The sequence below is a fragment of the Homo sapiens genome, chromosome 18 (assembly GCF_000001405.40).
Source record: "Homo sapiens chromosome 18, GRCh38.p14 Primary Assembly".
Taxonomy (NCBI): domain Eukaryota; kingdom Metazoa; phylum Chordata; class Mammalia; order Primates; family Hominidae; genus Homo; species Homo sapiens.
Window position 1 is genome coordinate 47,922,359 of NC_000018.10, and position 22,077 is coordinate 47,944,435.

At 42.5% G+C, this 22,077-nt stretch overlaps 1 protein-coding gene and 1 long non-coding RNA gene across 7 annotated transcripts in view, besides 2 other annotated features; both read right to left on the reverse strand.

Moving 5' to 3' along the window:
* The window catches only part of SMAD2 (SMAD family member 2), a 121,916-nt gene extending 113,402 nt beyond the window's left edge, over positions 1-8,514 (reverse strand). For 3 of the 6 annotated variants that reach the window (NM_001135937.3, NM_001003652.4, XM_047437508.1), the window contains exon 1: positions 8,442-8,514. The gene's annotated coding sequence lies outside the window, so the exon portion shown is untranslated. Of the gene's footprint in view, positions 1-8,002; positions 8,302-8,441 lie in introns of those variants that run through there. The other 3 variants (XM_017025749.2, XM_047437507.1, NM_005901.6) reach the window with 2 other exon arrangements.
* Positions 7,730-8,259: a silencer, noted in NCBI's record as "silent region_9427". NCBI's record gives its function as "represses an Ori minimal core promoter by ATAC-STARR-seq in GM12878 lymphoblastoid cells {active_cell/tissue: GM12878}" and the evidence as "EXISTENCE:reporter gene assay evidence [ECO:0000049][PMID:35858748]".
* Positions 8,290-9,219: a silencer, noted in NCBI's record as "silent region_9428". NCBI's record gives its function as "represses an Ori minimal core promoter by ATAC-STARR-seq in GM12878 lymphoblastoid cells {active_cell/tissue: GM12878}" and the evidence as "EXISTENCE:reporter gene assay evidence [ECO:0000049][PMID:35858748]".
* LOC124904297 (uncharacterized) lies at positions 9,830-18,402 on the reverse strand. The gene is made up of 2 exons (XR_007066360.1): positions 18,031-18,402; positions 9,830-12,134 (listed from the first exon to the last, which is right to left on the reverse strand). It is a non-coding gene; the product is annotated as an uncharacterized LOC124904297 (long non-coding RNA).
* Positions 18,403-22,077: the final 3,675 nt, after the last annotated feature.

Below are 22,077 nucleotides of genomic sequence, written 5' to 3' on the forward strand. Positions count from 1 at the left end.
GGATTAAACCAACCATGGATAAAAAATATTCAGGAAAAAACTGTGACTGTACTGAACATGTACAGACTTTTTTCTCATCATTTCTAAAACAATATAGAATAACAACTATTTACATTGTATTAGATATTAAGTAATCTAGAGAGGATTTAAAGAATAACAATAAAATGTGCATAAAACAAATTCTACACCATTTTATACAAGGGACTTCAGCGTTCTCATATTCTGGTGCTTGCAGGAGAGTCCCGGAACCAATCCTCTGTGGAGACCGAGATTTTTAGCAATCTATGTTCAAACATACTACAAGGCAGAGAAAAAAACAGCAGCATCAATGACCTGGAATTGTATAACTGTTTTAGTCAAATAAATAATTCATTAGTAACCAGGATAATAGAAAACCTCAAAAAAATTAAAATACATAAAACCCAATTTTTTAAAAACAGATTTTTCAATTCTCACTACAACTATGTTCTCTCCAAAGCGTAAGCTAGTAAGGAAAGACACTGCCAACTGGAAACCTAGGTCGGCCCCCATGGAGAATGATGGGTCATGTCTTTTAAACAAAAGCAAACAGAAAACATTCATGTGTTCAACTTTATGGACTGTCAAACCTAATGCAAGCTTGAATTTAATTCAAGAAAATTATTATTTTAGCAAAAGTCCACATTAAATAGGGACTGCTGTGTAAAGAGACTACTTATTTTTTTTTTTTTAACTAAGAGTTATATTCCTATCACCTATAATGAGTTTTGTGGAATCCACAACTCTATAATCAACTTGTAAACACGTAACTTACATATTGGTTTATCATTCCCAGATTATTAAAAAAAAAAAAAAAGCACCTATGACAACACTACACAGGCCCAGACTCAAATCAGCACAAATATAAAGTACAAGTACTCTAATTGCTCTTCAAATTCCCAAAGTCTATCCTGACCCTCTTCTGAAGCAGCAACTAATACCACGTCAATTCACGTGAGTGGGGTCCTCAGGCCATAAAAGCTCAATTAAAGCAAAGTCTAGAGTAGTGCCACCCAACACAACTTTATACAATGATGTAAATGTCCTTGGGTATCTGTGCTGTCTAATACAGTAGCCATCAGCTGCATATGGCTATCTAAATTTAGATTAAGTAAAATTTAACATTCAGTTTCTCAGTCACAGCAGCCACATTTCAAGTGCTAAATAGCCACATGTGGCTGGCAGCTACCTGTTAAGATAGAGCAGGTCTACAGCAAAAATTTCTCCAAGACCTACTGTTCTTCAGCTGTGCTTCAAAGGCTTCCTGGTGGTGAGGATGAGAGGAAAACTGATCAGGCAGGACTTCAACAACTGCCTATTCTTCCTTCCACAAAACAGCTTTACTCCTTTTATCTGTTTTACATTTCGAAATTCTGCATATTTCTCTCTAAAGGCTTTCTAGTTGCTGCTGTGTGTGCAGGTGTGCACATGTTTTAAGTCTGACTACTACTGGTTTCGAGCAGAAATGGCCAATGCACAACCTCAGGCCAAAGCTGGACCCTCCTGATAACTAAAACATTTTTTAAAAAAAAGTTTAATTGATCAGCTAACATGAACTACAACCTAACTACCTGTCTATTAAGAATTTTAGGCCGGGCGCAGTGGCTCACGCATGTAATCCCAACACTTTGGGAGGCCAAGGTGGGCGAATCACCTGAGGTCAGGAGTTCGAGACCAGCCTGACCAACATGGTGAAACCCCGTTTCTATTAAAAATACAAAATTAGCCGGACATGGTGGCGCATGCCTGTAATCCTAGCTACTCAGGAGGCTGAGGCAGGAGAACTGCTTGAACCTAGGAGGCGGAGGTTGCAGTGAGCCAAGATCGCACCACTGCACTCCAGCCTGGGCAACAGGAGCAAAACTCCGTCTCAAAAAAAAAAAAAAAAAGAATTTTAAAAGTGGATCTCAATAAGGAAAATTTACATTTACTACCACAGATAAAGTATCTCTAGTCAACAAAAGAGTTTCAATAGTTCACTCAAGTCAAGGCAGAAGGCTCACGGGCCCAGCTTCCACTGCATCATTTATGAGGATTTTATATAGGAGGCTCTGCAAAAAAGATTTGCCACCCCACATTTTCTTTTTTTTCTTTTTTTTTTTTGAGACGGAGTCTTGCTCTGTCTCCCAGGCTGGAGAGCAGTCGCGGGATCTCGGCTAACTGCAACCTCGGCCTCCCCGGTTCAAGCAAGTCTCCTACCTCAGCCTCTTGAGCAGCTGGGACTACAGGTACCCGCCACCACACCCAGCTAATTTTTGCATTTTTAGTAGAGACAAGGTTTCACCATGTTGGCCAGGCTGGTCTCAAACTCCTGACCTCAAAGTGATCCGCCCGCCTCAGCCTCCCAAAGTGCTGGGATTACAGGCGTGAGCCACTGCCTCCGGCCTCACCACCTCACATTCTGAAATGAAAGACGTGATGAGGATGGAACGTTTCCTTGATATTTACAAGACCTTAACCATTATGTCTCTACAGAATTTCTGGAAGTAGCTGAAGCAGCATATGAAAATGTAGTTTACTTTTAAACATAGGCAAACTATAAGATCACAGATTCACTATGCTACTTCCTCAGATCAAGAGTCTTTTTTGACTTAAGAGACTCAAACTAATGAACAGATGGAATACCAGTGGTTCACCCAAGATTATTCCTACTGAATACATTAAATGTGAAACTACATCCCCCTTCCCCACAAAATGAGGGAAGGTATGACACTGTAGATTATTCAAGGAAATGCAAATTTTTACATTAAGGTAGACACGTGTACTAAACAGAAGCAACTAAAGTCTATCCTCGCTTTCCACTACTCTACAGCCTTGAGGCCAATGTAAAACCAGATTTTGAAAAATGACAGGGCTACCTAGGATAATTAGTGACAATTTCACAGTAAATTCACAAACTTTGATAAGAATTAATCACGTCAGAATTTCTATTTTCTTAAGACTACAAACCTAAAGATACATCAAGCACCTGTCCTATCAATGTGCCTCAGTTACAAATAAGAGGAACCCACTGAGCCAAGGAGAACCACTCACACTGTACAATGTGAGGCAAGCACAGAAGACACAGAATTGCCCTAATATTTCTGGCTATCTGACCAAACTAAAGGCAGTGTCTAAATCCACCTGGCTTGGAAAAATTATATTCTCCCTACATGAAATTGCTGAACTGAAGCTGCGAGCTATCTTTGAGATGTAAATCTAGAATCAACATTGAATTATGTCCTAACTGAATACATCACAATTACACCAACCTGAAAAAATGATCAAAATTGATCAATGACAAGCAATAAGCCTCTAACTATGCATTTTTAAACCAAAAAGGCTAGTACTTTTGTACTACTGCTAAAAAAAAACCTGATTCTTAAAAACAGCCAAGGCTACATATTACAAGGTCACCAATAATTATCTGATGGTGTAGATGGTTTAAGAAGTAACCCTGAGGTAAGGTTACAAGAAAGGGGATCAAAAAAATTATCAGTGCTAATACTGGGCAGAAGTCACATGACAAGAGTCAAGAAACCCTCAACAGAGAGACTGGCCAACTATCCACTCTTGCTTTATCCTAGAAATCTCGAGCATACTCTATCTCAAAACACAGTGAAAAGCATACACTACTGTCAAAGCACAAGTGAAAATTTATATGATACTCCTGCAGACTGACAAAAAAATTACTTACACCAAAGAAAGGGGTGACATAGGGTGCTACCACACTGAAACAGCCTTTCTTTACTGCTGGCTACCCTTTCAGCTTGGAATCTGAATGGCTGTCTGAATGGCAAAACAAATGAAAAACATCTTGGTCATAACAGCTACTGTGATCTTTCATGAAATAAGCCATAAGCTATAGCACAATCTTCAACCCCTTTAAGAACATTTCTTAATCATCCTGAGTGACAATCTAAAGTATATTACGTAGATTATTGCACTCTTAAAAAGATTTTCCCAAACATGATTTAGGCTAATTGATGAACATTCATTACTATGCTTTCAGGTCTGGTCCTGCACTCAATGGCCCCAGACATGCTAGTCAGGCTTTGACTATTTTTGTGTCTTGTAGATTATCTCTATTATCCTCACCGAGCTGTTATCTGTTTTTTCTGACAAGAGACACTAGGCTAACATCCTACTCCCCAGCCCCCACCACACCCCCTCTAAGCCTCCCACAGTACCCATAATCTACTTGTTTCTAATCTAGTGCAGGTTTAGAAGCCAGATAACTTTGCTTGTTAGAAACACTTTAAATAAATGCCAACACATTCTTATTAAGGGTCTCCAAGGCTCTCCTAAGCTTTAAGCTATGGACTGGGACAATTTGGCTATCCCAGGCCTTTGTTGTTCATTGTCTGCTTCTCAAATACATTTTACAATAGGTCCATAATAACAGTGTAGGCAAATCATTTGGATTAGAAAGAGCCCAAGTAACAAACCCACAACTACAAGAGAGGAAGAAATCATTTGGGAGGACCCTTATATCTCAGGCAATGTTCTAGGTACTTGAATTGTGATCACTGAATAAGAGGAAGGGGTTAGTACTTCCATTTTGTGTCAGAAAACCAAGGGCCTGGGGTTGGTAGTAAATTGCCCAGTATTGTAACTGAGAAACAAAATATTAGGCTAGGGCTCTCTGATTCCAAAACCCAAGGCCTTTCCACTACATGAGACTGCTGTCCAATCCTGGGTCTCGGTTTAACTAACTTTTTACACTATTCCCGATCCTTTCACTGAGTTATTCAACTCTGCTTTCTTTCCTTAACCAGCTTCTGTAATTAAAGGGCAATAAGTGATCAAATTAAGGTCAGATGAAGCTTAGCTCTACAAGTGTACATCTGTTCAGCAATAAACATGTTTCTGAAAGACTGGCCGTATCTTCAGTTTGTATAGACTGTGCAAAACTGGTGCCAAGGTCCCCCCAAAATACACAGATTGTTCCCAGTGACACTGAGTAACACTTCACATCTTCCCTAGTGCTATCTGCTACATGTTACAGGAAGCAAGGCAAGCTCACTTTAGGAATGGCTCAGTAATGCATGTGCCCTTGATTTGTACACTAACAACTGTCTTACTCTAAACACTGGAGAATAGGGCAAGGGACATGAGTTTCCACTTTTCTAACTCCATTAAGGAACAGGGGTGTACTTGTTTGCTGTTAAGAGACTTTATTGCCTAGTCCAGAGCCTGACACACAGAAAAAGCTGTTTGTTGAATAAATGAATAAATGTATTTGTTGAAAATAAATGCATCGGCCAGGCGCGGTGACTCACGCCTGTAATCCCAGCACTTTGGGAGGCCGAGGTGGGCGGATCACCTGAGGTCGGGAGTTCGAGACCAGCCTGACCAACATGGTGAAACCCCGTCTCTACTAAAAATACAAAATCAGCCAGGCATGGTGGCGCATGCCTGTAATCCCAGCTACTCAGGAGGCTGAGGCAGGAGAAGCGCTTGAACCCAGGAGGCGGAGGTTGCGGTGAGCCGAGATCGTGCCATTGCACTCCAGCCTGGGCAACAAGAGTGAACTCCGTCTCAAAATAAAATAAAATAAAATATATAAATGCATAATCTCTCATAACCTCTCTTAACTGGTTGTGAATTCCTTACGTTTCACATTTTCTGACATACCTTTGGAATACTTAGGGGAAAACATCTTACCTCTCACAGAAACTAAGGGCCTAAAAATGGCTCTTCTACACCCATCAAAAGACTAAGAATCTAAAAGACATGCCCCCCTCTACCCTCTAAAAATGACTCTTTGTCCTAAGAATATGAATAAATCTCCATCTGCCAGACTGCACTAAATACAGCTTTTATATGCATTACAAAAACACCTGTATAAAAAAGCTGCTACAAAACGAGGTTTTTGGAGCCCTAAAGCACAAAACCAACAGAATCAAAACCAAACAAGAACAAGGAAAGACTTTTAAAACTGACAGTATTTGCAAAATGTAAAAATTCAATAGGTCTTTGGCCAGCGGTTTACACAGCTAAACCGAGTTTTTCCATTGACATATATTCCCCCAAATGTGAAGTAAAGATTATAGCAACATGATTCTAATATTTACAATGTGAAAATGAAAAGGGGACAACAACCTCTGGCCATCTTGAAGTAGAATAGAAACAACCTTTGTTCCTACTAAAGTTCTGTTGAAATACCAAAACCATCCCCAATATTCCTACACAAGAGTTAAAACACATACCAAGCCTGATAAGACACAAACAACAGGAAATTACCCTGCACAGTTTCTTAAAAGACTATTATTTCATGAAACTTACAGACTGTGTAGAGACATGACCACTTATGACTAAGTAAACGTAGGTTACAACCTTGAAAACCCAAACTTTTGTTGAACACCTACAATGCTTGTGGCCGCACTTTAGAAGGTGTGGCTAAGTATAAAAACCAAGCTCTAAGAGCAATTTCTTACTAAAACCCCAAAATGAACGTTTCCAATCACATTACATTAATTAAACCTGGCCAGTGAACAGCCTTGAACTCAATTAAATCCAGCAGAGTTTAATATTTATAGTAAAAGTGGGCACACTCTTTAGAAATGCCGAAAGATGTGAACTATTTATATTTACTACGACAGCTAAGTTTACGGCAACGGCTAAGGAACTTTAAAAATAAAAGTATTACTTTTGAATTTAATATAAACGTTTGCTAAATGACCTTCTGGCAGAGGAAATTCTTTAAATATCTTGTATGGGTTTTCCGAAGGCAAATTTTTTAAATACCCTCAAACTATGGTACATTTATGAAGCCCATTTTAAATTACTTCTCCCATCTCTGCTTCATCTGCTTCACTAATTCATGTATTAAAACTGTTGAAACTCCATTTAACTATTTGACTAACTTCTCTGTAAGATGGAAACTTTTTAAAGGGTGTTAAAGTAGAATAGCAAATTTTCAGCATAATAAGAGCAAATTTATTACTAGGCTCAAGGAAAACATCCTATCAGCGATTCATTCATACGAAACTATCAGGTTCAATTCATATGAAGTCAGAAGAGAGAAAAAGAATTTTGGAAATTAAATCACATTTCAAAGACCATTTCTAAAAAGATGTAATTATTCCAAGTTATTTATTTATTAACAATTATTTTACACATGTCGTTTTAAAAGTTTCACAAACCCAAATTTAAGATAGTCCAAATTGCAACAAACAAGACATGACTTTGATGGAAAATGCTGCTTGCAAATTCGTTTTACCTGGAAATTTCTTTTTTAAAGGTATGGTTGACAACACACTGGTGGTATTTTGCTTTTAAAGGGTCAAGAGAAAGGAATAACAAAACCAACCCAGGCATTCTTTTTCTGTTTAGGATCAAAAGGACATTTTAAGGATAAGTAAAAGACAAAAGTACCTGACCCAAAGACAATATCCCCCTCCAAGAGAACAAAGTAAGTTGCAATTTTAAAAACCAAGTTTGAAATACGAGAAATCACTTCGAGGGCTTTCCAAAGGCGTGTGATAAAAACTAATAGGCTCCACCCGCAGAACAACTTTCACAAGTGAGTGAAGGATGATCACAGAGTTATCAGCTGTGTGCGTGTTTGTGAGTACACACAAGCCATGGAAAACCCGAGACTACCACTGTTAACAAAGGTTACGAGACCAAAAAAAAAAAGTGGAGGCAAAGTATTACGCGTCCCTAACAAGGCTTCCCCACAACTCCTGAAACAAGAGCTCTGGCCCTTCGGCTTTAAAAATCAGAACCACAAACTATGGAGTGTGAGAGCAGCGAGGGGAAGGGACGCAGGCAGCCCCCGCCCCCGTCAGCCTGGGCGGCAGCGCAGTGCAACCGAGCCCCGTCCCTTCCCGGCTCTCCGGCCCCGAACCCGCACGCCCGGGCCGGCGCACCCACAGCCCCCGAACTCACCACACCCCAGCCCCCACCCGCAGCGGCCATGTGACACGGCCCATCGCCCCGGCCGCGGACGCACGCAAACACTTCCCTAGCTGGAGGCCCGCGGGCGCCCAGGCTTTACCTGCAAGGTGGCGCCAGGTCCCGCCCCGTCAGATCCGGGGGGTCCGGGACCTTTTGTTCCTTCCTCTTCCGATGGGATGGAGGGGGCTGGGAGGGGAAGAGGGGAATGGGCGATTGGAGGCGGAACTGAAAACACTCCCGGCCGCCGTCTTCCCGCCCCGCCCCCAGGCCCGGGCCCGGCCGGCGGCCCGGGCGCGCGGGAGGGTAGGGGAAGAGAGGGGAGGGGAGGGGAGGAGAGGGAAGGGGAGGGGAGGGAGCCTGGCCGCCGCCCGCGGGGAAGGAGGGGGTGAGGACGCGCGCGCCCGCGCTGCCCCTCCTCCCCTCAGGCGCGCGCCCGCAGCCCTACCGGCCGCCCGCACGGCCGCGCCCTCCCCCGCCAGCCCACCTCCGCTTCCGCCCTCCGCCCTCGGCCGCCGGCCGCCGCGGCGCCACGCACCCACCTCCCGGCGGCTGGCGGGCTGCTGGCTGGCGAGCTGCTTCTCCGCCGCCGCGGCCGCGCGGGTAGACCCGCCTGCCACCCTGGGCCGCGGGCCCCGCCGATTCGCCGGCGCAGCCCCGGGGCTGGCACCCTGCCGCCCGCTGATTGGCGCCTCCAGCCGCCCGTTAGGGCGCGAGGCACGCCGGCCGAAAGCCGCGCGGGGCGGGTATGGAAGACGGAGGGAGCGGAGGAGGAAAGGAACGAGGCCGAGCACCGCGGGAAGGGCCGGGGGGCGAGCGGGGCGCGGGGAGTCGCCGGCCACCGCCTCCCCACCTCCCTTTGCCTACGGCCCGCCCCGCCTCCCGGCCGGACCGGCGGCGCCCGCAGCCAATCAGCACGAGGGAAGCTCGGGGTGTGAGCCGCGCATCGGGGGCCTCGAATCGGAAGGGAGACGTCGCTCGCTGATTGGTCCCGCCTCCCCAGTCTAGCGTGAGGCGAGGCGGGGCGCGGCCGGGCGGGGCGGGACGCCCGCGGTTTCGCTTGAGTTGGGCGCCGGCGCGCTCCCACCGGGGCTCACGGGCGGAGAGGGAGAGGCCCGCGCCTTGCCGCGCATTAAGACGATTCCCGGTGACCGCCCGATCCCTCGCCAGCGTCGTGGGTGGGGCCTGTAGGGGCCTGCCGCCTCGTCCACCGTCCGTCGTGAGGCCGGCAGCGGACACGTGCTCATCCCACGGGGAGGCCCCGCGCAGCGCGGAGGACGCGCCTGAGAGAGAAAAGGGGTTCGGGAGAAGCCCGAGGACCCGGCCCGTGACTGGGCGCGCCCTATGCAAATGAGCGGGCGGGGCCCTCGTGTTGCTGAACGAGGGCGGGTTCGCGATGTAAATAAGCCCAGAGGTGGGGTCTTTGGAGAGCACTTAGGGCCCGGGTAGGGGATGCCAGGTATAAGTGTTTAACCTAAATTTTGGTTCCGTCTTCAGTAAAAATGATATCAATAATCCATGTCCCGAAGGGTCTTTGTGAAGTCTAAAAGAAACATCTGTCACGATGTCCCTTAATGGCTGGGATATCTTCCCTTCCCCTTTTCTCCACTGTTGCGACGATTAGGCCCCAACTTGCACATCTGCCCTACAGGAGGCAGCAAGGCCCTAAACTTACGGCTGCCCAGAACATAACTGCACCCAGGGAAAACCTTGTTGCGGTTACCCTTAGGAACACCCAAGCCTCTGCTGACAAAATATTGAGCCCAACTAATCACATCAGGTGTTTACTATGCACCCACTGTGACACAGGCAGGGAGTACCGTAGAACTAAAGTTGAAAAGAAACTTAGGTTTCACACAGGTGCCAGAGACAAGACTAGAACACAGTTTTTTTTTGGCTGCCTGTCCAGTAATTCATTCTCATGTGTGGCTTAGTTTATAGATTTAATTGGGGACTTCAAATAAGCGGGAAAGAAGCACTAGCAATACAAATCGGTAATCAGGAAGTACCAAATGAGCACTCCAAACAGTAAGAGTTTTTGAAGTATACGCTTTCTTCTGAGAAATGAACGTGTCCCAGAGGAGGGTGCCTTCAGATGGACCTTAAGAGAGATGTGGCCATCCCCTGAGTCATACAAGTTTTCCAGATGTCCTTTCAAAATCTCTGTCCTTTCCACCGTCTCTGTCCTCACACATAGAGGAACTTTTCTCACGGGAAGGTTGCGATGAAGAGCATAAACCCAGGAGTCAGGCACGTTGTAGCTTTGAGTACGACTCTGTTCCAGATCTGTAATCTTTGGCAAATGGAACTCACCTGCAACGATACCTACTTAAATATAGTTGTGTGATGATTAAATAATAAATATGAAAGTAAATAACATAGGGCTTTGAAGTTCAAGGAAAGTCAGTGATCATTAACTTCTCTTCTGTTGCGTGCGAACATTTATGCTGAGACGAACCTACTCAGCAGAAATTCTTCCTCCAAAAATTCCCTTCCAGGGTGGTTTCTTCCATTGTTAGTTTAGAGGCAGCTCTACTAACCCCTTAATAAAAATAAAAAAGTTTGTGAAGGACACCCAGGAAGCCATTTGGTGGAGCTGTCCCACCTCCTCTGCCTTGTTTCCTCTTTCCAGAGCCACTAGGGAGGACGGTCCAGGGCAAAGGCTGTTCAACTTACAAGTAGGAAGGCTGTTTCTTGTTTTTGGTCTGTCTTCCTGCTAATACAAGTCAACAGTTGTAATATGAAGTAGCATATTAAAAGCTACCCTGGTCACACAAGTATTTTCTCCTGTGTGAACAGGGTGTGGATTTGGGTGTCCACCTGAGTAGTAGAAATAGGAACCAAAGCAGGCCTGGCTGGGATTCCAGAATGTGCTCCTAGTATGGAAGTTAGGTACTTTGAGGTTACATTAATTAAGTGGGTAGTACGCCTGAGGTCTAAGTTAGACCATTTCTCCAAAGTCTCAGACTTTGGGTCCATAACTCTTCCATTTAGGAAGCCTTCCAGGATCTACAATTGAGGAAGAGGGAGAAGGGACAATCTGGCTACCAATGCAGTCCCCAAGGGGCTTAGAAATGGGAGCATGCCTACTGTCCCCTCTGCTAGAAATGCATCTAAACCAAAGTGGGTCAAGACAGAAACTGAAGGCACATAGAGCAGGGATTGCTATGGCAACAAACAGCTTGGAAATCCACTAGGGTACCTCAAGATCTATCAGTAGGTCCCTATTGTATAAATTAGATTGAATGAGTCTTATTTTTATATGGATAGAGACCAAGTTTAACCCTTCATTAAACATGACACTGCAAAATCAATTACATCCAAATCAATTCAGAATCCAATTCAAAAGTAGTTAAGTGCACTGGAAAGACACGAAAGAAAAATGATAATGGTGGTTGCTTCTGGAAAGAGCCTGAGGGTCATAAGTGGAAAATTTAAATTTCATCATTATTTCTTCTGTAGTTTGATTTTTTTGAAAAAGCTCACTGCCTTGGTTCAGACTTCATTGTCTTTCATTGGAAGTACTGCTTTAGCTCCTCAGCTGGTCTTCTTGCCTCCACTCTTGCTGCCTTCCAATTCATCCTCCTTCCTGCTGCCAGAATTTTTTTTAATAGCATATTTTCTAAATGTAAATCTGATATCACTACCTTGATTGATAGTTTCCTTCTTCCAGTTTTTTTTTCCCCAGGGTAAAATCAAGACTGTTTAGCATAACCTAAAAGATCCTTAATGATCCATCCCAGGCCAGTCTCTGTAGTGTCACATCTCAACACTCCCCACCTTGCTCCCTTTTCCCCAGCCAGAATGAACTCCTGACAGTTTCCCTAATCACCATGTTCTCTCGTTCCCCAGTGCCTATGCTGTGCTCTTTGTTCTGCTAGAAAGCACTTGCCCTATGGTGCCTGACCAACCTCTGCTCATCCTTGGAAGCTCTGTATAGAGCTTCAGTACCCTCATTTATTCATTGAACTCTCTATCCATACATACAAAGACACACACACACACACACCACACACACACAGTCATGATCTTTCAAAAAACAACTCATATTCTCCCCTTCTGGTAAATCTTTAAAGCCCTTTCTGGCTTCCCCAGCCCAAAGCTATACCATTCACATATGAATTTTCTCTCTTATACTTACGATGATATACATACCATTCATTTAGTCTTGAGCAGTTTTTTTTTCCAGCTTCTCCTGTGTATATATATTGTCTCCCCATCTAGATTGTAAGTTCCTGAAGGACAAGGACAACTTATTTTCACTTGTCTTCCCCTACCCTTACCAAAATACTAAGTAATTGAAGAAAGATGAAATACAGCATTTGTATAAAAGAAAAACATGTCACAGATCTGCAAACATTCTACACAGCTTTGCGCCCATTCTTCCGGTTTATAGTGGCCCTCCATACAACTGTTGGGTCTCTTTTCAACATCATTTGCTCATCCTAGTGGGATTAAATTGCAGTGAGCATTACTACATCTTAAGGAAAGATCCAGTTATTTGCAACTGAGAGGACCCTGATTAAATGAGATAAGTAAAAATTTTAAAGAACAAATGCATGGGCTTACTTTTATTGTAAATAATAAGGAAGAAATCCAACACCAGCTAGATATTTATATTGATACAATGAAATTTCAGGTTCCAAATGAATTTATGTTGCAGATTTGAACATATGCGCCCCCCCCAACACACAATCCTTATTCATGTTAGTTTTTGCTAAAAAGAAATAGTATTTCACATCTGATAGGAAATGCAGGAGACAGGAATAAGGCATATATGAGAAAAAAACTTCAAATGTAACAAGTGTTCATCAGGTGTCTGTCATGCACCTACCACAGAAGCATTGGTTGATCATAGTGGAAAATTCTCACTCTTTGGCCAAAGTCACTCAAAAAAAATAAGACAGGATTTTTTATAATTAAAGAGAGAAAGAGATTAAAAGAGAAGTTGGCTCGGATAAAGACAAAAATATATGGCAAAACAAATTATATTTCTCATCATTCTCCAGGCATCTTACTATTATATTTCTTATCTCTACACTTAAATGGATAAATAATGATTAGATGAATAGATCATTGGATAACTCAGTGACTGTTCAAATATTATTTGGAAAATTACAATACAATTCCAATGCAATGAGCTCTCCCATAAAGGCATTTAAATATCTGAGATGTACATATTTTGAGAAAAGAATAACAAAGGCCAGTGTCTAAACCCTGAAAGAACAATATACAAATTGTTTGAAGTTCTGTTGTGAGGGGAGATTATTTGGTAGTCACATGCCAACAATTGGGCCTTATGCTTTCATTATAATTGTCTGTGGGTGACAATATTGACTGAGCCAGGCTGCTGCTAGGCAGGATAAGTGTATGAAGGTTTAATACTCTTGGAAAATTTCAAGCTTATTAGCATAATTGCTGTGATGAAGACTGAAGAGCTTACTTAACATAGCTGACTAGAGTAGACAATAGATGCATAAGCAGTGTCCTAATTATTGAATTAATGAGTCCCAATTGTTTGTCCTTACTGTAAATGGTCCTTGCTATGAAAAAGACATTTTGCTGAAGGAGTCTGACAATTGTGTTAGCTGACAAGTGGCCAGAATGTAATTAATGGTGGGGGAGAGCCAATTACTACTGGGTCCTAAAGACTTCACTGGTGAGTTTCAAGGAAAAATTGCATAGCTATATAGTAGTTTCATATCAACTCCTCTTTTCCTTTGTAAAATCGTGGAGCCTGATTCAGTGCTCTTATTTTGCAGTTGAGGAAACTGAGGCCCAGGCTTACTTCTCCAAAGTCCTGTGACCACTTAGTGCCATGGATTGTGCAGGTAGTATCCACCTTTTCTGCTCTGGCACTGCCCACTGACTCTTCTTCCTGTTCCTGGTCTGCATGCACACCCATGCTGCAAAACAACACTTCTGAACCTTTGCTGCTCTACAAAACTCCAAGTTCCCATTACTTTATATGCATATGTCCTCACCAACTATTTCGTGGTGAAAATAGAGGCAAATTTCCTACCCACGCCTGAACCCCCAGTGATGGACAGATGTATCTGTCTCCAGACTGACCCTTCCAGCCACTTTCTTCAAAAGCCTTGCCTATCCCTCTGGAGAAGCTTTTTCCTCCACTTACTCTCTGTTCCCTTGACCACCCTGTCTAGGGTGGTCATACATACACACGTCCCTCCCAACATACACATGTCACACTCTACCACATCACCTTTAAAATTTTTTCTTTAAAAACTTTTATCATTTTGTAGAATCATCACGTCTACTTATTCTGTACTGAATTATTACTTGTCAACCCTTAACACTTAATGTAAGCTCTAAAAGAGCAGGAAATATGTCTGTTTTGTTCACCATAGTATCCCTAATTCAAGCATATATGGAGGCACTCAATAAGTATTTTTGAATGGATGAATAATTTTCACTCAAGTTCACTCAAACTTAGCATATCCAAATGGAACTGATGACCTCCTTCTGTTTTCCTATCTGAGTATGTCTTAGCCCAGTTCCCTAGAAAACAAACCCTGATGCAAGGATTAAGTATTGATGCGTTTTTTAGAAGGTATAATCCCAGGGCAACAGTATGAGGAAAAAGATAAGAAAAAATGGGGAACAAGGTACAGCAATGCATTGCTGTGCTAAACACTACTCCATGAAAAGCCTTAAAGAAATACAGCCTGTCTCTTGGGCAGGTACAGCCACTTGACCATACAGGACATCTCCAGACAGGCAGTATGAAGAAATCACACCATAAAACAATGTGAATAAGGAAGGAATTTTATCTTTGTGTCTCCTGTCTCCTGTTGGTCATAGCTTTTCCCTCAGGGAGTTAAAATTTTCTCACTTCCCAGTTGGGTTATCCATTTTCTTTAACAGTCACTCAGAAAGCCAGGTCCCATGCCCTGGAGTTCAGAAGCGGTGGGAGGAAACTGTGGGTATGTGGCTGGTTGGCTTCAGGCAGTTAAACCACAAGGAACTTAACTAAGTCTCTACTGGTAGCAGCTGAAACAGAAGAAGAGGTTAAGGGTCCCAGAGATGGTAAGGCTCAGAAAATCTGAGAAGACATGTAAATTAAGGCTGACATAGGGTAATCATTACTACAGCAAAGGTAGAACCAGGTTTATTTTATCCACTTCATTATACACAGCAGCTACCACACTATGTGCTAATTAAACTTCTGTTGAATAAATGCCTGCATAAATGACACCACCACCTGTCGGATCTGCTTAAACAGAAACCTTGGAGTCATCCATGGTCTTCCTTCTTTCTTAATTCCTGTATATCAAAGACAAAATTTCCATTGGTTCTACCTTTTTAATATATCTCAGATCCAATGCCTCCTCTCCAAGCTCACTGCCTCGGTTCAGACTTCACTGTCTTTCATTGGAAGTATTGCTTTAGCTCCTCAGCTGGTCTTCTTGTCTCTACTCTTGCTCCCTTCCAATTCATCCTCCTCCCTGCTGCCAGAATTTTTTTAATAGCATATTTTCTAAATGTAAATCTGATATCACTACCTTGATTTATAGTGTCCTTCTTCCTGTTTTTTTTTTCCAGGATAAAATCAAGACTCTTTAGCATAACCTAAAAGATCCTTAATGATCCATCCCAGGCCAGTCTCCGTAGTGTCACATCTCAACACTCCCCATCTTGCTCCCTTTTCCCCAGCCAGACTGAACTCCTGACAGTTTCCATAATCACCATGTTCTCTCATTCCCCAGTGCCTATGCTGTGCTCTTTGTTCTGCTAGAAAGCACTTGCCCTATGGTGCCTGACCAACCTCTGCTCACCCTTCGAAGCTCTGTATAGAGTTTCAGTACCCTCATTCATTCATTGACCTCTCTATTCATACATACAAAGACACACACACACAAACACGTGCGCACACACACACACACACACACACACACACACACTCAGCCATTCAGTGTTTATTGTAACAGCCAGGTTCTTAGTTGCAAGCAACAGAAGAAATTGATGTTGGCTGACTTAAGGAGAAAGAGAATTTGGTGAAAGGATATTGGGTGGCTGACACAATTGCTGGGAAGGCCCCTGCAGAAACAGGCTCAGACAATAAGCAGAAGAAACAAGGAAGGCTAGGCAGCAGCCAGGAAGACAGCCAAGACACAGGACCACATACTGAGGGAGGAAGGCAACCATCACTGCCACCACCATTCCACACAGGATGCCATGGCCTTCACTTCCAAGTCAGTGTCACTGGGCATTACCCACCATTCGCTACCCACCACTCTCACTATCAGCACTGTTGCTCCTGGCAATCAGATGTCACTGCAGTGCCTGTTACTGCCACCAGAATTGTTTCTCCACCACCCGTATTTTGCATTACTAGAGCCCTGTCTTTGAAGCCCGGGGCAGATCTATTAGGTCAACCAAGCTTAGCCTATGTTGCATGCTCTGCTTGCAGGCAGGGTTGAGAAAGTAAGGAGCTAACATTTTGGTAGCCTTCTATATTATAGTGGGGATCTGCTTCTCTCCAGTAATCCTCAGATAATTATCTAAACAAAATAAAGGGGGCCAGGTTCTGGGGAGCCCCTAAATGACAAATGTCCACCATGTTCTCAAAATTGCTCAACAAATAAATTGTGCATCTACCTGTGCCATGTTGTCTTTGAGGCACCAGGGATACAAAAATGAATAAAGTGACCACTTCATACCCACTAAGAGGGCTATGATCAAAAAGACAGAAAATAACCAGTGTTCCTAAGGATGTAGAGAAATTGGAATCTTCATATATTGCTGGCAAGAATGTAAAATGGTGCAGTCATTCTGAAAAGCAATCTGGTAGTATTAACACCTCTAAAGATTAGACAGAGTAACCACATGATCCAGCAATTCCACTTCTAGGTATATACCCAAGGGAAATAGCAACATATGTCCACCCAATAACGTTTACACAAATGTTCATAGCATTCATAAGACCATGAAGTAGAAACATCCCAAATGCCCACCAACTGATGAATGATAAACAGTGGCGTATCTATACAATGGAATATTATTCAGCCATGAAATTAATGAAGTATTGAAACATGCTGCCATATGGATGAATACTGAATCTTGAACCATTATGCTAAGTGAAAGAAGTCGGTCACAAAGGTCACATACTGTGTGATTCCATTATATGTAACATCTAGAATAAGCAAATCTATAAAGATAGAAAGTGGATTTGTGTTTGGCAACGTCTGGGAGTGGAGATGGGGTGGGAAGGGGAGTGACAGCTCATGGGTACAGGGTTTCTTTCTGTGGTAATGAAAATGCTGTAAAATTAGATTGCAGTGATGATTGTATAGTTCTGTGAACATACTAAAAACCATTGAATCATATACTTTAAATGAGTGAATTGTGTGCTATGTGAGTGATGTCTTAATAAAGCTGTTTATAAAAAATGAATGTAATAAAAAAGCCTCCTTTTCCTCAATGAGCTGATATGCTTGTGGGACAGCAGAGTTAACAAGGTGGCTGCCAGTGGCCGCTGGTCAAGCCTGTAATCCCAGAGCTTTGGGAGGCCTGGAAGGATCGCTGGAGGCCAGGAGTTCAAGAACAGCCTAGGTAATATAGTGGGACCCTGTCTCTACAAAAACTATATTTAAAAAAAGAGTTAACAAGGAAACAATACAACTTCAAGTTGTGGCAAGGCTTTCCCTCACACCTACTCCTTCTTTCTTCATGCCTCAAGATGGAAGATGTACCTTGCTCCTTGCCACAGCACTTACTATATTTTGAATTGTCTTTCTCTGAACAGTACGATCCTCGAGGTAGGAACAAGTGCGTCTTTGAACTTTGAGTCACCAGGGCTAGCTGCGGTGCCTAGCACACAGTAGCCTTAATAGTTGTTTGTTGAACGGCGAATAAATGAGAGAGCCAGAACTGGAACCTGGGTGTCCCAAGACCTAGACCAGATTCCTTCCTACTACACCCGACTATATTGATGCCAGAAATGAATGCTTTCCAAATATGACGGCTAGCCAGAGAGATGTCTACAACAAAAACAGTTGCGTTTTCTACAAGCTGTCAGTTTCCAGGTATATGTTTACGTTTTACACTGTAAACGTAATTTTGCTGTTTCCCTTAATTATGCTATGTCCTTCGAATAATCATTTCACTCACCTCATTTACAGCTCTCTTCCTTGAGTTCATCACACAGCACCAGCTTTGCTGTCATCTTTAGCATCCTGTAATTGCGACTTCTCACCCACTTGGCTGGTCAACACTGAGTGGGGGGCTTTCTGGCCTGTGTGCACAGGGTTTCAAGGCCCAGATTTTAGAGATTTGGCTTTTCATTTACCAAAAAGCACAAAGTAGAACTATATCAGCAAAGATTATGTAGAAAATTACTTTTTTCACAGCCTCTTGATATTTAACTTTGCAACAAATATTCCGTACTACTTTTAAAAATCAGCTTTATTGGCTGGGTGCGGTGGCTCACACTTGTAATTCCAGCACTTTGGGAGGCCAAGGCGAGTGGATCACCTGAGGTCTGGAGTTCAAGGCCAGCCTGGTCAACATGATGAAACCCTGTCTCTACTAAAAATAGAAAAATTGGCCAGTCATGGTGGAAAGCACCTGTAGTCCCAGCTACTCTGCAGGCTGAGGCAGGAGAATCACTTGAACTTGGGAGGCAGAGGTTGCAATGAGCCAAGATCGTACCATGGCACTCCAGCCTGGGTGACAAGAGTGAGACTCTGTCTCAAAAAAAAAAAAAAAATTAACTTTATTGAGATATAACTCATATACCATAAAATTCAACCAGTTAAACTGTACAGTTCAATGGCTTTTAGTATACACAGAGCTGTGCAACCATCACCACAATCTAATTTTAGAACATTTTCATCACTTCAAAAATAAACCCCATACTGGTAGCATTCACTCCTCATTCTTCTCTCCCCTACTCTTGACCCTAGCCAACTACTAATCTACTTTTTTGTCTTTATAGATTTGCCTATTCTGAATGTTTCCTAGAAATGGAATCATATAGTATGTGGTTTTTTGTGACCTGGCTTCATTCACTAAGCATGTTTTCAAGGTCCAGCTATGTTATAGCATGTATCAGTATTTCATTTCTTCTTATAGCTGAATAATATTCTATGATATGGATATACCATATTGGGCATTTGCTTGTTTCCATTTTTGTCTCTTATGAATAATGCTGCTGTAAACATTCACATATATTTCTCTACTACTTTTTAAATCATAACTTTGTTTCAAAAATTCCTCCACCCCTCTGATGCTCTTGTCTCTCAGTAGGCTCTCCAGTAATTTACAAGGTTCTTCTAGGCTTTTTATTATTGATTATTAATGGTTATTGAAGGCCTAAAGTTTACCTGGCAAAGATTCAGCCTTCCTGTTATTGTAATTATTATCAATATAGAAAATATTTCACTGAACTAATGAAACAACTGTATCTCCAATGACATTTTGTGACCTGTTAAAAGATGCCAAGGAAGGCTGGGTGTGGTGGCTCACACCTGTAATCCCAGCACTTTGGGAGGCTAAGGTGGGAGAATCACTTGAGGTTAGGAGTTTGAGACCAGCCCGGCTAACATAGTGAAACCTTGTCTCTACTAAAAATACAAAAATTAGCCAGGTATGGTGGCCCACTCTAATCCCAGCTACTCGGGAGTCTAAGACACGAGAATCACTTGAACCCAGGAGGCAGAGGTTGCAGTAAGCCAAGATCACACCACTGCACTCCAGCCTGGGCAATGGAGTGAGACTGTTTCAAAAAAAAAAAAAAAAAAAAAAAAAAGATGCCAAGGAGCCATGTTCTTGGAGAGTCTTATCTGCTAGGGACTGTGCACTGTACTGTGAGGACAAGAATTAGGACACAGTCCTTGCCCTCTAGGATCTTCTGTTCTGTTCGAGGAGACAGTTGTAGGAGATGCAACTCACCCAGTCTTGGCGGTCAGGGAAGGCCACTGTAGGCAGGGTGGTACTGCTGGGAGTTAGCCAGGAAAAGAGCCAAGAGAGCAAAGGCAAACACATGAGCAAGGGCCCAGATGTGAGAGGAGCATGTTTGTATGAAAGGGAGGGAGAAAGGAAAGGAAAGAGAGGGGAGGGGCATGAGGAATTGTGGAAGGAAATGAAGCTGAACCAATAAAGAAGAGCCACATTGTTAAGGGCTTTGAAAGCCATGCTAAGGAAAAGTTCCTCTGCTTGAAGGGGAAGGATTAAAAAAAATCAGTGGATCAAACATTCACTGAATGTTTGACCCTCTCAACACAAAACAAACACAAAAACTTATTGAAAAATATACAAAATGAAAAGGAATTTGTGAAATACTACTTTTTAGTGTTCATGTTAGAAGTAAATGTGTTTCTCTTTTAATCAAAATCTTCAAATTTGGTGTCAACTTGTAATAACAGTAATGTTTTAAATTATTTTCTTTTTATTATTTAACAAATATATGTGTGACCCTCCTATGTACAAGAGATTACTCCAATCTCTGAGGCTACAAAATGTTTCACAATGCTTGGTTCCTCACTTCAAGGCATTAAGTGTTAAATCACATAATCGGTGCATAAAGAAACCAATAATATTTCATATATTATACATATTTAATAAATTTCTTATTCAAAAGAAGAGGCACCACCAAAGAATTCAAAGTGTATCAACATTAGTGTCCCTCATTGGCACAATTATAATTAATTCAATTTTTTAAACAGCCCTACACCAAGGGGCCTTCAACTAACAAGGCTCTTAATTATTTTTGCTTTGGAAATTTTTTATCCTCTGGTCCAATTCAGGGGTATTTTTTTTAAAAAAGATTTATTAAACATTACAAACAAAGTAGTGTCCTATGGGCTATGAAGAATGTAAAGGAATGGTAGGTATGGTTCCTTCTCTCAGTGAAATTCCAATTCTACTGGAAATACAAGAGGTGGCATCAAGGAGGTTGGGGGAGCATTTATTGTCTCCTCTCATTGTGCCAGGTTCTTAAAGCTCACTTTATCTCATTTGATCTTCCAATAACCCCATTAGGAAGATATTTTTCTCATAAGTAATAGAAGTCCCCATAGAGGTAAAATAACCCAAGATCAACAAGCCACAGTGGACATTTCCAATTGAGGTGAAAACCAGGAAATATTTACCAAGTGTGGTCACATGGGCAACCGCACAGTTCCGCTGAGTGAAAATGGGTTTGAATTCTCTTATAGCTAGCCTTCAGGGGTCTTTCTTGCATCTCCACTCTTTGGTTCCAAGGAAAGTGACGAAAAGCCCTTCTGAGACCTGGGGCTGGGGCTAGCGCTGTCTGGAGGCATCTTCACTCACATGTCTGGTGGGTGATGCTGGCTGCTGGCCAGCACACCTACACATGGTCTTTTGAGTCTTTGGTAAAGGGTAATGGATATAGAGAAATAGGAAAGACCAGTGAAGGGAGATATGCAGTTAAGGGAAGATTTTAATCAAATGGAACATAGAATATTTTTATAGATTGAAGGGAATAAACCAGTAGAAAGGGGGAAATGTTAGTACAGGAAAGAGAACAGATAACAGTGAGAATGGCGCTCTAGAGTTGGTGAAAGGAGATGGAACCCAGTGCACTGGGAGGGTTTAGCCTAACACAGCAACTTGGATGGTTCACCTATTGCACGTATCCTCAATGAGGACAAAAGTTGGCTCCTACTCTTTTTATGTACAAAGCACAGATACACATGCAGTGCATAATCTTATGGCATGAGGCAATTAGGAAAAAGGTATCTAAAAAGACACTTTGAGGGGCAATAATGAAAAGAAAAGGTTGAGAAACACTGATCTACGGTAACTCAAGAGAAGGCAGAGAGTATATGAGTAGATATCAGTGTTCTGATGTTCGGGTGTTTAGATGTTGGAAACATGTGGAAGCTCTCTTTTGATATCATCTATTTCCCAGTGAAATAAGGAGCAAGAACCAAATATGAGAAGGAGAAAGGGAGTTTTACAGGTTTGACAAGAGATGAGAAAGTTGAAATTGATGTCTTAGAGGGTCAGAGAGGGAATTGACTAAAGACTCACTTGATGTTGATGGACTCCTTAAGGTGAGATCAGTCAGCATGTTTGTGTGCTTTTCTCTAACTGCATTCAGATGCTTGGATTAGGTAGTGGTTGGGTTTCACCAGGGTTGGGATTTTACTAGGGGAGTACAATGGCTGGAAATATGAGCAAGGGCATCTCCCA